General features: G+C 49.3%; 1 protein-coding gene across 3 annotated transcripts in view, besides 2 other annotated features; it reads right to left on the bottom strand.

The window, feature by feature from the left end:
* TEAD4 (TEA domain transcription factor 4) overlaps positions 1–16,284 on the bottom strand; it is an 81,280-nt gene that overhangs the window by 41,121 nt on the left and 23,875 nt on the right. For 2 of the 3 annotated variants that reach the window (NM_003213.4, NM_201441.3), the window contains exon 3: positions 4,564–4,818. The exons of the other annotated variant lie outside the window; for it this stretch is intronic. In NM_003213.4, the coding sequence (NP_003204.2) occupies positions 4,564–4,789 (226 nt within the window). In that variant the 5' untranslated portion in view covers positions 4,790–4,818. The remainder of the gene's footprint in view (positions 1–4,563; positions 4,819–16,284) is intronic. 3 annotated transcript variants of the gene reach the window in all.
* Positions 39–333: a silencer, noted in NCBI's record as "tiled region #741; HepG2 Repressive non-DNase unmatched - State 15:Elon, and K562 Repressive non-DNase unmatched - State 1:Tss". NCBI's record gives its function as "represses a minimal TATA promoter and a strong SV40 promoter by Sharpr-MPRA in HepG2 and K562 cells {active_cell/tissue: HepG2 | K562}" and the evidence as "EXISTENCE:reporter gene assay evidence [ECO:0000049][PMID:27701403]".
* Positions 7,396–7,897: an enhancer, noted in NCBI's record as "H3K4me1 hESC enhancer chr12:3100825-3101326 (GRCh37/hg19 assembly coordinates)". NCBI's record gives its function as "activates a minimal SCP1, AML or CMV promoter by ChIP-STARR-seq in naive H9 embryonic stem cells {active_cell/tissue: H9 hESC(naive)}" and the evidence as "EXISTENCE:reporter gene assay evidence [ECO:0000049][PMID:30033119]".

Genomic DNA, 16,284 nt, shown 5'->3' with positions numbered 1-16,284 from the left:
TGGGAGACTCAGCTCAGAAATAGCAGGTGTTAATCTGCCGTGCTGCTTTGCATGTCATCTGCATGTCTGCCTGGCCTTGGTCAGCGTGTCCTATGCTGGATGTTCCGTGGGCGGAGCTCGGAGCAGGCCTAACCCCTGTCCTCAAACAGCTAAGGCCGGGTCCCCAGGTCGGGAATCATCCTCTTAGCCCCACCCCATACCCCACCGGGCCGGCCCACTTGGAAAGGGGCTGGTGGCCTTTGGATGCAGGGAAGTGAGGGGGGAGAAAAGACCAGAGCTCTGGGGATGCTAGAAGCAGCTGGGGGCTCAGAATGGGGCTGGGGTACACAGAGGATGGGAAGCGCAGATGCCCCAAGGGAAGATGAGAAGACAGGAGGGGAGCAGCCACGGTGAGCTGAGGTCTGAGTCAGCTCTCAGCTCGGCCTCCCATTCCGCCTCCCAGAGGGCCCATCCCACACACTGGGGGTGAGCTCAGAGCTATCTATAGCTCCCAGCCGGGCTGGTCAGCACTGCCTGCTGAGAGCCCTCCATCAGTCCCCACGCAGTCCTGCCTTGGCTCGGCCCCCGGGACTGGTAAGAAGAGACGGGGTGAGCGGGTGTCTGGATCCCAGCAGAACCTATTCTCATGCAGGACAGGTGCTGTGGGGGCTGGGCGGTTGTCAGAGCCTGCAGTACAGCCTCCAGGGCCCTGCCCAGGGCCTGACCCACCTGGAGCCAGGGCCAGGCAGTGGAGGAGCAAGGCCATTCAGCTGACAGAGGAACGCCAAGCTCGGAGGCAGGAGAACTGGGTTAAAGCCCCACTCTCCACTTCCAACTTGAGAGACTGGGAGAAACTCTTGGCTTCCCTGAATTTCCATTTCTGCATCTGCAAGCAGAGGTGCCATTCCTCCCTCCTTGAAGGGACCGTTGAAAGGACCGAAAGATCACAGATGCCCAGGATGCTGGGAGCGCTGACGTGTTATGAAGCACAGTGAAGCAGCACCTCTGCCTCTCCTCACTCTTCCTCCAGGCCCTCCCGAGCGTCCCCATCCCATGCCCCTCCCTGGGTCTCAGCACAGGGGAGGAGCAGCATCCGAGATGCCAACACGGCCAGGACAGTTTGCCAAACCATTTTCAGTCTGCTTCCCTGAGTCAGTGGCTTCCCTCCTGCCAAAGAGAATTCCAACCCAAGTCCTGCCAGAGATCCACAGCCCGGCGCTTCCCCAGGGTTGGTCACGGTCTCTTAACCCCAGTATCTTTATATGTGAAGCAGGGACAGAAATATCTACCTATAACAACTAAATAAAACTAAGCATCCACCCAAATGTCTGTCGGCAGATGAACAGATAAACAGAATGTGGTCTATACAATGGAATATTACTCAGCCTTAAAAAGGAAGGAAACTCTGACCTAGGTTATAATACAGATAAACGTTGAGGACCTTGTGTTAAGTGAAATTAGCCAGTCACAAAAGGGCAAATGTTGTATGATTCCACTTACATGAGGTAACTAAAGGAGTCAGACCCATAAAGACAGAAAGCAGAATGGCAGTTGCCAGGGCTGGAGGGCGGGGAGGATGGCGAGAATGGGGAATTATTGTTTAAAAGGTAAAGAATTTCACTTTGAAATGAAATATTTCTGGCGATGGGTGGTAGTAATGGCTGTACATCAATGTGAATATATTTAATGCCATCAAATTATAAACTGAAAAACTATAATGATTAAAATGGAAAATGTTACGTATTTTTTAACACACACACACCCCCCCCCCGAAAAAGCAAGTCCTCAAAGCCCTTGGTCCCCAGGGGTGCTCAACTCCACAAATGTCTGTTGATTTAGTGCATTCTAGCATCTCCACGGGGCCCTCCCAGACACCCACAGCGCCCTCCGCCCTTGCCCCTTGCTGGATGCCTCATGCACACTTTCGTTTTCCGGCCCACCTCTGTCTCTAAAGCACACAGACCTGCCCTGTGAAGGGTCCAGGACATACACCACAGCTCCCCAGCCAAGCCACCTGCCCTTCCCTACACTCCCCCTGCCCTTTCTCATTTCACACCTAAGCTACAATCTATACCCATCCCCTCCTCCACCAAAGCAGAGCCCGGGGGGTCCCAGAGGCTGCGTCCCTCCTGGCTAAATGGCAACAACCTCTGCAAAGCACCGAACACCACACCAGGCACCCCCAGGTGCTCCACACACAGCTGTCTCCCCCATGACGCTTCCCCAGGCGCTAAAAGTAAGAAGCAGAACTTCACAAGTAGAGGTGGAAGGGACTTCACAGGAGTTCTGGCCAGTAAATATTTCAGGGGTTAGTTTCCCAGTGTCTTCCTTAAATGTATCCAGGTCACTCTTCTTCATCCCATTCTCCTGTCTGCTAGCTGCAATGTAACTCCTGGAGCTGAAGCAGCTGCTTGGGCCTTAAGGGAACATTCACAATGGAAGGCATGCTCATGAGCCACAAGACGGAAGCATCCTGGGTCCCTGAGAGCTTCATGGAGCAGAGCTGCCACACCTTCCCTGGACTACCTACCCTCCAGACATTTATAGGAGAGAGAAGGAAATTTCCCTTATGTAAGCCACTGTTATTTGGGATCTGTTAAAGACAAATTTTATCTTAACTGCCACAAACACATTCAAGTATTTTATTTAGAAATACAGATGCAAGGCCGGGCATGGTGGCTCACACCTGTAAAATCAGCCGAGCGTGGTGGCGCACGCCTGTAGACCCAACTACTCGGGAGGGTGAAGCAGAAGAATCACTTTAACCCACGGGGCGGAGGCTGCAGTGAGCCGAGATTGCTCCACTGCACTCCAGCCTGGGCGACAGAGCAAGACTCTGTCTCAAAAACAAAAGAAAAGAAAAGAAAAGCTGGGTGCGGTGGCTCACACCTGTAATCCCATCACTTTGGGAGGCCAAGGTGGGCGGATCACCTGAGGTCTGGAGTTCAAGACCAGCCTGACCAACATGGAAAAACCCTGTCTCTACTAAAAATACAAAATTAGCCAGGAGTGGTGGCACGTGCCTGTAATCCAAGCTTACTCGGCAGGCTGAGGTGGGAGAATCGCTTGAACCCGGGAGGCAGAGGTAGCGTTGAGCTGAGATTGCGCCCATTGCACTCTAGCCTGGGCAACAAGAGTGAAACTCCATCTCAAAAAAAAAAAAAGAGAGAGAGAGAAAAGAAAAAGGAAAAAATAAGCAACCATCAGAGCAAGAAGTGGTCAAAGCAGGGAGAGTCTAGAGGGCCGACCCAGAAGTAAGGGCGACCCTGGGGAAGCCGAGCCAAGCAACAATGGTGGGGGTGGCACCAGCGTTGGGTGTGGGGGAGAAATGAATGGAAACCCGTGGGGGTGGGCAGCTGGTCTGGGGCCATCCTGTTGGAAGCCAGGCAGGGGCCCCGTTGTCACTGACTTCAGCCATTTAGAGACCCACTCAGGGCTCTCACTCCTGCCCCAAGACCACTGTTTTGAGCTAGGATTCCTAGAGGACTTTCCAACAGGAACAGAAGCCTTATCTGGGCCTTCCAACAGCCATTCAGTTTTTATTCTTGCTTCATTTTTTTTTTTTTTTTGAAACAGGGCCTCACTCTGGCACCCAGGCAGGAGTGCAACAGTGCACTCATGGCTCAATGCAGCCTTGACCTCTTGGCCTCAAGAGATCTTTCTGCCTCAGCCTCCCCAGTAGCTGGGACTGCAGGCTGGCACCACCAAACCTGGGTAATTTTTTTTATTTTTACTCCAGATGGTGTCTCGCTTTGTTGCCCAGGCTGGTTTCAAACTGCTGGCCTCAAGTGATCCTCCCACCTTGGCCTCCCAAAGTGCTGGAATCACAGGCTTGAGTGAGCCACCATGCCCAGCCCCTGCTTCATTTTTCCAGATGCCCCCTCTTCCATCCAAAAGTCATCGTGGCCCCATGCCAACTGCTTGGTCCTTCCCATGCATCGCTGAACAGTTTCAGCTGTGTTCTGCAACCCCAGCCACTCACAAAGATCAAGCCGTTTCTGGTGACCCTCTGCTGGGTTGGGGGGGGCCTTTCCTAGGGGAGTGGTCTCCAGCACTCTGCCTCTCCTAGGAACTCTCCAGGCTGCCTTGCAGAGCAGGTATCTGTGAGCTCACATTACCCTCACCCCAGATGACAGGCTGGGACTAGACCCGTCTAACCCACACCAGGCACACAGAAGGCTCGGCATCTGTTTGTTGCATGAATGAGTGAGGGAAAGAGGGGATGAGTGAGCATCCTTCACAGCCAAGGTGGGCAGCCTGCTGGTCAGGCACCTGCTGGGGTACAGCTTGTGGGGTGCTCCCCACCTGCTCTGGGGGGATGTTCTACCCCACCCAGATTCGCCTTTTCCAAGATTCCCACTCCCATCTCTGCTCACCGCCAGGGGCCCCACCCTCCACACCCCCTCACAGGCTTCTCCTCAGATGCCCCCATCCCTTGGGAGCCCAGGAGGGAAGAAAGCAGTGTCCACCCGACAAAGCCCCAAGTGGTCATCCCCTTCTGTGGCCCGGCAGGAACCCCAAGGTTCTGGTGTCGGCCCCTTGCCTCAGCCTCAGGTACAGGGCTGAACCCGACGGGCTCCTTACCATACATCTTGCCCTCGTCCGACAGGATGATTTTGCGCCTGCCACAGGGCGGGTAGATGGCGAGGGCCTCCTGGAAACTCTGCTCAATATCCGGGCTCCACACGCCCTCTGCGTCATTGTCGATGGGCTTGTCCAGTGCCTGACTGCCCCCAGAGGCGGTGCTCCCCTCAGGGGAGGTGGGAGAGCTCCACTCGTTGGAGGTAATGGTGCCGGCCGTGCCCTCCAAGGCTCCGCTTGGAGGAGCGCTCGTTGGACCTGTGGGGACAGGAACCACAGCCCCGGTGAGCAGTGGAAGAACTGCGTGGGCCACGGGATGAAGGCACTCCGGGGAGTGCCAGAGCCCGAATCAGTTGCTCAGGAAGCAAAGCGTGAAGTGAAAGATCTGTGAGAATCAGGCCTGGGGTCTTGAACAGGTCCCATCCCCTCTGGAGAGCTCATCTTCCCATCTGTCGAATGAGCACAATGACCTAGGCACTCCCTGGTATCAAGGAACCCAGACAAGGGCTGAAAAGTAGGAGACAAGGATGCAGTGCCGGGGATGCACTGACATTAAATCGACCCTGGGCAAAAAGCATGCAAAATCCTGGGTACTGTTGGTGGGAATGCAAAATGGTACAGGCCGGGCGCTGTGGCTCACGCCTGTAATCCCAGCACTCTGGGAGGCTGAGGCAGGCAGATCACTTGAGGTCAGGAACTCGAGACCAGCCTGGCCAACATGGTGAAACCCCGTTTCTACTAAAAATACAAAAATTAGCCAGGTGTGGTGGCGGGCACCTGTAATCACAGCTACTCGGGAGGCTCAGACAAGGAGAATCGCTTGAATCCGAGAAGCAGAGGTTGCAGTGAGCCGAGATCCCGCCACTACACTCCAGCCTGGGTGACAGAGCAAGACCATATGACCCAATACCTGGGTATATACCCAAACAAACTGAAAGCAGGGTCTCAAAGATATATATGTACACTCATGCTCGCGGCAGCATTATTCACAAGAGTCAAAAGGTAGAAGCAAACCAAGTGTCCATCAATGGATGAATGCATGAACAAAATGTGGTGTATACCTACAGCGAAATAGGAGCTTTAAAAAGGAAGGCAACCGGGACACGTGCTGCAGCACAGACGGACCTTTAGGACATTATGCTGAGTGAAACACGCCAGTTACAAAACAACCCAAACACTGCATGATTCCGCTGACGAGGTATCTAAGCAGTCACATTAGGCCAGGCACAGTGGCTCATGCCTATACTCCCAGCACTTTGGGAGGCTGAGGCAGGAGGATCCCTTGAGCCCAGGAGTTTCAGACCAGTCTAGGCAATATCGGGAGACCCCATCTCTACAAAAAATTAATTTAAAAAAAATTAGCCAGGTGTGCTGGCTCGCACCTATAGTCCCAGCTACTCTGGAGGGTGAGGGCAGAGAATCACTTGAGCCTGGGAAGTCAAGGCTGCAGTTAGCCATGATTGCGCCACTGCACTCCAGCCTGGGTGACAGAGCAAGGCTCTGTCTCAAAATAAATGAATACAATAAAATAAAAATAAAGTAGTCGGCAGGGTGCAGAGGCTCACACCTGTAATCCCAGCACTTAGGGAGGCTGAGGCAGGAGGATCATTTGAGTCCAGGAGTTAGCAAGACTTCATCTCTACTAAAAATTTTTTTTACAAAATGTTCTTAAGTGGTCAAACAAATAGAAACAGAGTAGAATGGTGGTTACCAGGAGCTCGTGGGAGAAAGACACAGAGTTGTGACTTGACAGGTACAGAGTTTCGGTTTTGCACGATGAAGAAGTTCTGGAGACCTGCTGCGCAGCATTGTGAATATACGTAACACTACCAACCTGGATACTTCAAGAGGGTTAGGATGGTACATTTTGTGGTCTTTTTTACCACAATGAAAAATTTTTAAAAACGCATATACAATATAATGTAGGTCACTATTCTCCTGTTCCCTTCCCAACTCAGGCTCTTTCTGAAAGAAACAGTCTTGGCAGCTCCTCACACACTGGAGCAACGGCAGGATTGACTTTCTGGTGCCTCTGGAGGCTCATGGTCACAACCCCACCTTCCCCTAACATGAGACAAATCCAGTGACCTCTTGGCTCCAACCATCCAAGCTGTAAGCTTCCAAACATAGTTCTCAGGGGTTTGTGAAGGAGCAGGACATACCAGTAATCTTAAGGCAGTTTTTGGGTTATGAGTACCAGCTGGGAACCACGTACCTCCCACAGCCCTCGCAGAGCCCCCAACTTCTCCCCATCCCAGCCACCGAGTCCACTTGTAAAGGAGGACCTCACCGCGTCACACACATTGCCCGTCCCTTCTCCCCCACTAGCCTTGAGGAGCAATGCAGTCCAGCAGCCCAAACCCAGGCTGGGGGTCTAAACCCCTGAGTTCGACCACTTCCACCTCGGATCCTCTGAAGTGGGACCTCCCAGAGCATTCCTCGCTTATCATTGCCCTCCATACCCTCAAACCCCTCATCTCCCACCCATGGCCTGTGAGAAGGACAATTTCCTTCACAGAGAGGCACTGTGAGGGAGGGGGTGAGGATCGAGGGGAGGGAGGGGCTAAGTGTGGGAGGCACATCCCAGGAGGAGAGGTCAAAAGGAGCTTGGCAAAGCAGCTGGCACAGACATGCAGTGGGAAAGAGGTTAGAGCCACTGACACGTAAAGCAGGAACCAGCCGGGCGCAGTGGCTCACACCTGTAATCCCAGCACTTTGGGAGGCCGAGGCGGGTGGATCCCCTGAGGTCAGGAGTTCGAGACCACCCTGGCCAACATGGCGAAACCCCGCCTCTACTAAAAATAAAAAAATTAGCCGGGCATGGTGGCGGGTGCCTGTAATCCCAGCTACTCAGGAGGCTGAGGCCAGAGAATCACTTGAACCCGGGAGGCAGAGGTTGCAGTGGGCCAAGATGGTGCCACTACATTCCAGCCTGGGCGACAGAGCGAGACTCCGCCTCAAAAAAAAAAAAAAAAAAAAGCAGGAACCGCCCCCCCCAACCCCCACCACAGGAAACCTAAGCAGCTCCTTCAGCTTGCTGAAAAGGGCACTGAGGCCCAGAGGCCTAAGGACACGCCCAAGGTCGCGCAGTGAGGCCAAGGTGCAGGTCAAGGTCTTGTTCTCAGCCCTTCAGAGTCACTGGCCTTTTTAGTGTAACAAGTGTTGCCTGTTGTCTCTGTGGCTGTTAAAGTAAGTTTTCATGAGAGTTTGGGGGCAGAGTCGCTTTTTCGGGAATAAACTAGCTTATTCTCATCAGAAATTCTGGTCTTGATTCTATCCTGAACATGAAAACATTTTTCCATACTTCCAAAACAAACTTCTTTTTTTTTGTGGGGGGACGGAGTCTTGCTCTTTCACTCAGGCTGGTGGGCAATGGTACAATCTCGGCTCACTGTAACCTCCGCCTCCCAAGTTCAAGCAATTCTCCCACCTCAGCCTACTGAGTAGCTGGGATTACAGGCACACATCACCACACCCAGCTGATTTTTGTATTTTTAGTAGAGACGGGGTTTCGCCACGTTGGCCAGGCTGGTCTCAAATTCCTGACCTCAGGTGATCCATCCACCTCGGCCTCCCAAAGTGCTGAAATCACAGGCGTGAGCCATCATGCCCAGCCTGAAACAAACTACTTAAAAGAGTTGCCAACTTTAATTTCTGGCAATATAGTAGATAAGATGATTTTAAAACTCTCACTCTATAAATAAATTTAGAAACGACTGAGCAAAGCTCCCTTAGTAATGAGGAAGCTGGTTTTTTATTTTTCATCACTTTAAATTTTTATTATTTTTTATTTTTTAGAGACAGTGTCTTGCTCTGTTGCCCAGGCTGAAGTGCACTGGCAAGATCATAGCTTAGTACAGCACTGAACTCATGGGTTCAAGAGATCCTCCTGCCTCAACCTCCTGAGTAGCTGGGACTCTAGTCACGCACCACCATGCCCGGCTAATTATTTATTTACTGTAGAGATTATGTATTTACTGCAGAGGTCTCACTAGGTTGCCTAGGCTGGTCTTGAACTTCCAGCCTCAAGCAATTCTCCCTCCTTGGCCTCCCATGGAGTGAGCCACCATGCCTGGTCACAACTGGGTTTTAATGGTTGCTCAGAGATGAGACCTTAGACCTAAGAGATGCAGAGAAGCTGAAACTGGGAACTATACCTAAATCCTCAGAGAACCAGTAGAACACTGACAAAATATGACAGCGAAGATTCTCTGGGCCAGGCGTTCTCTGGGCCAGGCGAAGTGGCTCATGCCTGTAATCCCAGTACTTTGGGAGGCCGAGACAGACGGATCACTTGAGGTCAGCTGTTCAAGACCAGTCTGGCCAACATGGCAAAACCTCTTCTCTACTAAAAATACACAAATTAGCTTGGCATGGTGGCACACGCCTGTAATCCCAGCCACTCGGGAGGCTGAAGCAAGAGAATGACTTGTACCTGGGAGGCAGAGTTGCAGTGAGCTGAGATCACGCCACTGCACTCCAGCCTAGGCAACAGAGACTCCATCTCAAAAAAAAAAAAAAAAAAAAAAAAAAAGATTATCTGTCTTAGCCTAAATTCTAGATATAAAAAATAATTCTTAAAAAAAAGAATTTGTAACCAAGGGCCTACCCTTTAATGGATTTGAAATTTGAATTTTATATCGCTTAGTAACCTCTAGCCAATTCTTAAAAATAAACAGTGGTCCCAGGCTGAAAATCTCTGAAGAGATTATGTTTAAATGATTATTGACCTAAATAAGGAATTGTAAATATGGGAAAGAATAAGATATTATCAAAACTACAAAGTAGGCTGGAAAAAGAACTACATCAAACATTTAAAAATAAACATTTTAGTCACTGAAATTAAAAACCCAATGGTTGGGATTAACAACTTAGATACAGCTAGATAAAGAAGTAACAATCTGGAAGACAGAGCTGAGGAAATTACCCAGATGTATTTTTTAAATGACAGTAAAGAGCAAGGAGAACAGAATAAGGCAATTCAACATCAGAATTCCAGAAAAAGAGAACATAGAAAATAAATACAGTAGAGCAACATTTGAAGAGAAAACAGCAGGCAATTTTCCAGATTAATAGAAGACATGACTCCAATAATTCAGGAACCATGCTGAATCCTAACCAGGATAAATTCAAATAAAAGGAACACATAACGTAGGGACACTGCAGAATACCCAAAACAGAGATCTTAAAAGCATGAAGAGTGAAAAAGGGCAGATTATCTAGAAAGGAAGGACTATTAAACTGATATTGAACTTCTTTCTGGTGTGGTGGGTCATGCCTGTAATCCCAGCACTTTGGGAGGCCAAGGCAGGTGGATGGCTTGAGGCCAGGAGTTTGAGACCAGCCTGGGCAACATAGTGAGACCCCTGTCTCTACTAAAAATACAAAAATTAGCTGGGCGTGGTGGTGGGCGCCTGTCATCCCAGCTACTTGGGAGGCTGAGGCATGAGAATCACTTGAACCCAGGAGGTAGAGGTTGCGGTGAGCCCATATTGCACCATTGCACTCCAGCCTGGGCGACAGAAGGAGATTCTGTCTCAAAAACAATAATAACAACAAACTGATAGCAAACTTCGTAACAGTAACACTAGAAGACTCAATATAACATCACCAAATTGTTAAAAGAAACTATCTGTTAATCTTGAATTTAAAACCCAAACAAAAAATCATTCAAGAGTGAAGATTAAATAGAGGCATTTTTAGACAAAAATAATAGAGAATTTACCAATCAAAGAGCCTCATTGAGAAAATCAGGGCTGGGCATGGTGGCTCATACCTATAATCTCAGCACTTTGGGAGGCCGAGAGGCAGGAGGGTTGCTTGAAGCCAGGAGATCCCACAGGGTGGGGGCTCGGTTCCACAGGACTGCCTCCCGACTTCCCATGCCAATCCCATGCCCTGGGTTGTTTTACCTGTGCTTCTGACCCACCAGCTATAGGTGGGGTTCCTAGAACCCTCTCCTTAGGATCAATTAACCTGCCATAGTAGCTCACAGAACTCAGAGAAACACTATCTACCTTTACCAGCTTATTCTAAAGGATCTCACAAAGGATAGAGACGCATAGGGCAAGGCACGTGGGACGGTTCGAGAAGCTTCCATGTTCTCTCCTGGGTACGCCACCCTTCAGGTCCCTCCACCCGTTCAGCTTTCTGGAAGCTCCTCGAACACAGTCCTTCTAGGTGTCTATGGTGGCTTCATTACATAGGCATGACTGATTAAACCATTGGCCACTGGTGATCAACTTGACCTTCAGCCCCTCTTGCCTCCCTGAGGTTGGAGGGTGTGGCTGCAAGTTCCACCCCTCTAATCCTGCCCTTTGTCTTTCTGGAGTCTGGTCCCATCCTGAAGCTACCTAGGGACTGCAAGCCCTAAATCGACTCATTAGCATACAAAAAGACACATCGTTTTGAAGATTGCAAGGATTTTAGGAGTTGTATGGCAGGACACTGAATGAAGTCCCAATATATCTTTTTTTTTTTTTTTTTTGAGCTTTTTTTGCCCAGGCTGGAGTGCAGTGGCGCAATCTCGGCTCACTGCAACCTCTGCCTCCCAGGTTCAAGCGATTCTCCTGCCTCAGCCTCCCAAGTAGCTGGGATTATAGGCACCCGCCACCTCACCCGGCTAATTTTTGCATTTGTATTTTTAGTAGGGACGGGGTTTCGCCATGTTGGCCAGGCTGGTCTGGAACTCCTGACCTCAGGTGATCCACCCGCCTCAGCCTCCCAAAGTGCTGGGATTACAGACCTGAACCACCGCGCCAGACCCCTAGTATGTATTTCACAGTGTCATAATACCTAAATAAATGGAGAGAAACTGTGTTCATGAATGGGAAAACAATATTATGAAGATGTTGAATCTGTCCAAATAAATCATAAATTCAATGAAATTGTGATTTTTTATTTTATTTTATTTTGTTTTTGTTTTTTTGAGATGGAGTCTTGTTCTGTCACCCAGGCTGGAGTGCAGTGGCGTGATCTCAGCTCACTGCAACCTCCACCTCCCAGGCTCAAGTGATTCTCCTGCCTCAGCCTCCCAAGTAGCTGGGATTACAGGCATGTGCCACCATCACGCCTGGCTAATTTTTATATTTTTAGTAGAGACAGGGTTTCACCATGTTGGCCAGGCTGGTCTTGAACTCCTGACCTCAAGTGATCCTCCTCCTCAGCCTCCCAAAGTGCTGGGATTACAGGTGTGAGCCACCGTGCCCGGCCCTGAAATTGTGATTTTAAAAAATTCCACACAGTTTTCCACAAAGCTTAACAAGCTGATTCCAGGCTGGGCACGGTGGCTCAGGCCTGTAATCCCAGCACTTTGGGAGGCCGAGGCGGGCGGATCACGAGGTCAGGAGATCGAGACCACGGTGAAACCCCGTCTCTACTAAAAATACAAAACATTAGCTGGGTGCAGTGGCGGGCACCTGTAGTCCCAGCTACTCGGGAGGCTGAGGCAGGAGAATGGCGTGAACCCGGGAGGCGGAGCTTGCAGTGAGCTGAGATCGCGCCCCTGCAGTCCCACCTGGGTGAAAGAGTGAGACTCCGTCTCAAAAAAACAAAACAAAACAAAACAAAACAAAACAAACAAAAAAAACAAGCTGATTCTGAAAACACATGGAAGAAGCAGGAGGAGTCTGTAGTCTTCCAAGTCAGCTCCAGGCTTCCTTTCTCCATATTCCCTGGGCTCCATATTTCACCAGACTCATTCTATAAAGATGTGTCCCTGGGTTCTGACCTGACCTCTTCTTTTTAAACCCTAAACAGACTCCTTGGGGGATCCCCACCCAAGGCTTGCATTCCCACTCTATTGGTTTAATCCCCAAATCTGTGTATCTTTCCTGAGGTGAAGGTCCTCACAGAAACTGCCTACCAGGCATCTCTAATCAATCTCCAGAGCTCCTCAAACTCAACATGCCCAAAACCAAGTGTTCAGCTTGTCCCCATATCCTGTTCCACCTCCTCGGCTCTCTCTCAGGAAATGAACCACTCACTATCCACACAGAGACCAGAAAGCTAGGAACGCAGTCATGCACTGCATAACAAAATTTCAGTCAGCCCCAAACGTTCATTCAAAGGGGGTCCCATAAGATGATAATGGAGCTGAAAACTTCCTATTGCCTAGTGATGTCAGAGCCATCCTACCATGGCAGTGCCACACATTCCTCACGTGTCTGGTGGCACTGGTGTAAAACAAACCTACTTGTGCTGTCTGTTGTGTAAAAGTCTAGCACACACAATTATGTACAGTACACAATCCTTGACAATAAACAACTGTGTTACTGGTTAACTATTTACTATACTATACTTTTTGTCGTCTCTTTTTATTATATCTATTTTATTTATTTATTTTTTTTTATTTTTTGAGACAGAGTCTCACTCTGTCACCCAGGCTGGAGTGCAGTGGTGCAGTATCAGCTCACTGCACCTTCTGCTTCCTGAGGTCAAGCGATTCTCGTGACTCAGCCTCCCGAGTAGCTGGGATTACAGGCACGTACCACCACGCCCGGCTAATTTTTTTGTATTTTTAGTGGAGACGGAGTTTCACCATGTTGGCCAGGCTGGTCTCGAACTCCTGACCTCTGGTGATTGGCCCGTCTCAACCTCCCAAAGGACTGGGATTGCAGGCGTGAGCCACCGCACCCAGCCTTTATCATCATTTTAGAGTGTACTCCTTCTACTTGTAAAAAAAAAATTACTGTAAAACAGCCTCAGGCAGGCCCTTCGGGAGGCATTCCAGAAAAAGACACTGTTACCCTGGGAGATGATATCTCCATGCGAGTTACTGCCCCAAACGCTTTCCAGTGGGGCAGGACATGCAGGTGGAAGACAGTGATACTGACGACCCTGACGCTGTGCAGGCCTAATGTGTGCGTTTGTCTCTGTTTTTATTATTTTTTTTTAGTTTTTATTTTTTTGAGATGGAGTATTGCTCTTGTTCCCCAGGCTGGAATGCAGTGACGCGATCTCAGCTCACTGCAACCTCTGCCTCCCGGGTTCAAGCAATTCTCCGCCTCAGCCTCCCCAGTAGCTGGGATTACAGGCAACCGCCGCCATGCCTGGCTAATTTTTTGTATTTTTTTAGTAGAGACAGGGTTTCGCCCTGTTGGCCAGGCTGGTCTTGAACTCCTGACGTAGTGATCCACCCGCCTCGGCCTCCCAAAGTGCTGGGATTACAGGCGTGAGCCACCACGCCCGGCTGGTATGTCTCTGTTTTTAACGACAAAGTTAAAAAGTAAAAAAACAGGTGAGGTAGGTGGATCACGAGGTCAGGAGCTCGAGGCCACCCTGGCCAATATGCTGAAACCCCGTCTCTACTAAAAATACAAAAATTAGCCAGGCATGATGGTGCGCACCTATAATCCCAGCTACTAGGGAGGCTGAGGCAGGAGAACCGCTTAAACCCGGGAGGCGGAGGTTGCAGTGAGCCGAGATCGTGCCACTACACTCCAGCCTGGGGGACAGAATGAGACTCCGTCTCAAAAAAAAAAAAAAAAAAAAAAGATTTTGTAAACAGAAGAAGGCTTATAGAATAAAGATATAAATTAAGAAAATATTTTTGTACAGCTGTACGATGTGTTTGCGTTTTTGGGTTTTGTTTTTTGTTTTTTGTTTTTTTTGAGACAGAGTCTTGCTCTGTCACCCAGGCTGGAGTACAGTGGCGCAATCTCGGCTCACTGCAAGCTCCACCTCCCAGGCTCATGCCATTCTCCTGCCTCAGCCTCCTGAGCAGCTGGGACTACAGGTGCCTGCCACCACGACTGGCTAGTTTTTTTGTATTTTTAGTAGAGACAGGGTTTCACCATGTTAGCCAGGATGGTCTCGACCTCCTGACCTCGTGATCCACCCGCCTCGGCCTCCCAAAGTGCTGGGATTACAGGCGTGAGGTGTTTGCGTTTTAAAGTGTTATTATAAAAGAATCAAAAAATTAAGAAGTTTATAAAGTAAAAAAGTTACAGAAAGCCAAGTTAATATATTCTTGAAGAAAAATCATTTTAAATACATTTAGCGTAGCCTAAGTATCTGTTTTTATAAAGTCTACAGTAGTATCAGTAATGTCCTAGTGTAGAGTAGTGTACAGTCAAGCCTACAGTAGCATACATTCACTCACCATTCACTCACTGACTCACCCAGAGCAGCTTCCAGTCCTGCAAGCTCCATTCATGGTGTACCCCATACAGGTGTGCCATTTGTTATCTTTTATATTTTATTTTCACTGTACCTTTTCTATGTTTAGGAATGTTGAGATATACAAATACTAACACTTAGAGTTACCACTGTGTTATAGTTGCCTATAGAACTGAGTATAGTCACATGCTGTACAGATTTATAGCCCAGAAGCAATAGGTTGTACCACACAGCCTGGGTGTGTCGTAGGCTATACCATCTAGGTTTGTGTAAGGACCCTCTATTATGGTTGCACAAGGATGAAATCGCCAAGAGACACATTTCTCAGGAGGCATCCCCTTCGTGAAGCAGCACATGACTGTTTTGACTTTTCCCTCTTATTAATATCTCCCACATCTAACTAATGACCACATCCTGTCTTTCTGTCGCCTACATGTCTCCTGAATCTACTCTATCTCACAGCCCTAATCCAAGCTTCCAGCGATGCACATCTGGATGACCTGGTGCAACCCCATTCAGGCTCCATAATCTCTTCACCCCAGCCAGTGATTTTTCTAAAATGCAAACCTGATCACATGATTCTGCTACCTAAAAATTTTCAATGCCTTTTCTTTGTTCTTAAGATAACACTACACACTCCATGATGGGATTTTCTAGCGCTTCCATCTGCTGATCCCTGCTCTCCGGCCATACCTTCCGCACACAGGCACCACCCTCTGTACTTCCTTCTTTGAACCCACCTCCAAGCCCCAAACTCAGCCATCCAAATCACCCCCCAACATGCTAGGCTCTTTCTCCACTCCTGGTGGAGGTGCTGCTACCTGAAACTTCCCTTCCATTCCTTGTTCACCGGACCAACTCTTGCTCAGCCTTAAGGTCCAGCCATATGTCACTCCCTCTGGGAAGATGACTCCAACCTTAGCAGATTCCTGCATTTCCATATCCAGCCCCCATCTCCCAGTAAGGACTGGTCTCCACCACACTTTAGACACCATGGGGACAGGGACAGCTGTCTTCCTCTGTAAGTCCTCAGCACGCTGCACAGAGCTGATGAACACAGAATGAACAAACGAAGGGATATTTGTTAAGTGTTATTGTGGAATAATGATTTCTCTGTGGGGAGAACAGATTGCTCTGTGCTTAGTTTTGGGAAACAAAAGAAACCTCAGGAAATGTCTGGATTTTGGCATACCAGAAAAAGAGCTTGAATTGTGCATAAATCCCTTTGGGGCTTATTTTGGAGGCTTGTAGAATGGAAGTGTGATGTATGGGAAGCAAGAGCCTGGCTTTGGTTCCAGTTCTACCACCAACTACACAACCACAGACAAACCACCTCTCATTTTTCTGGGCCTCATTTTGCTTATCTGTAAAACAAGAAGGATGCCCTCCTTGGGATCCAGGGTCCTTTCTGTGCTAGCAGTATCTGTGGTTCACACTCCCTCCCCAGATCCCAGAAGTCTCCAGTGGCCTCTAGAAGTACCTTGCAGACTTTCATGTGTGGCTCTGCTCAGAAGGCTGGGGAACTGATCCATCCCGGAAGGCTGTCCCGCAGGAGAGATGACATAGTGAGATGTCATCTAGCGTAGGGCCTGACACAGTCAGTGC

The sequence above is a fragment of the Homo sapiens genome, chromosome 12 (genome assembly GCF_000001405.40).
Source record: "Homo sapiens chromosome 12, GRCh38.p14 Primary Assembly".
NCBI lineage: Eukaryota > Metazoa > Chordata > Mammalia > Primates > Hominidae > Homo > Homo sapiens.
The sequence above is the reverse complement of the archived record's forward strand: the minus strand, read 5'-3'. Positions and strand labels throughout refer to the sequence as shown.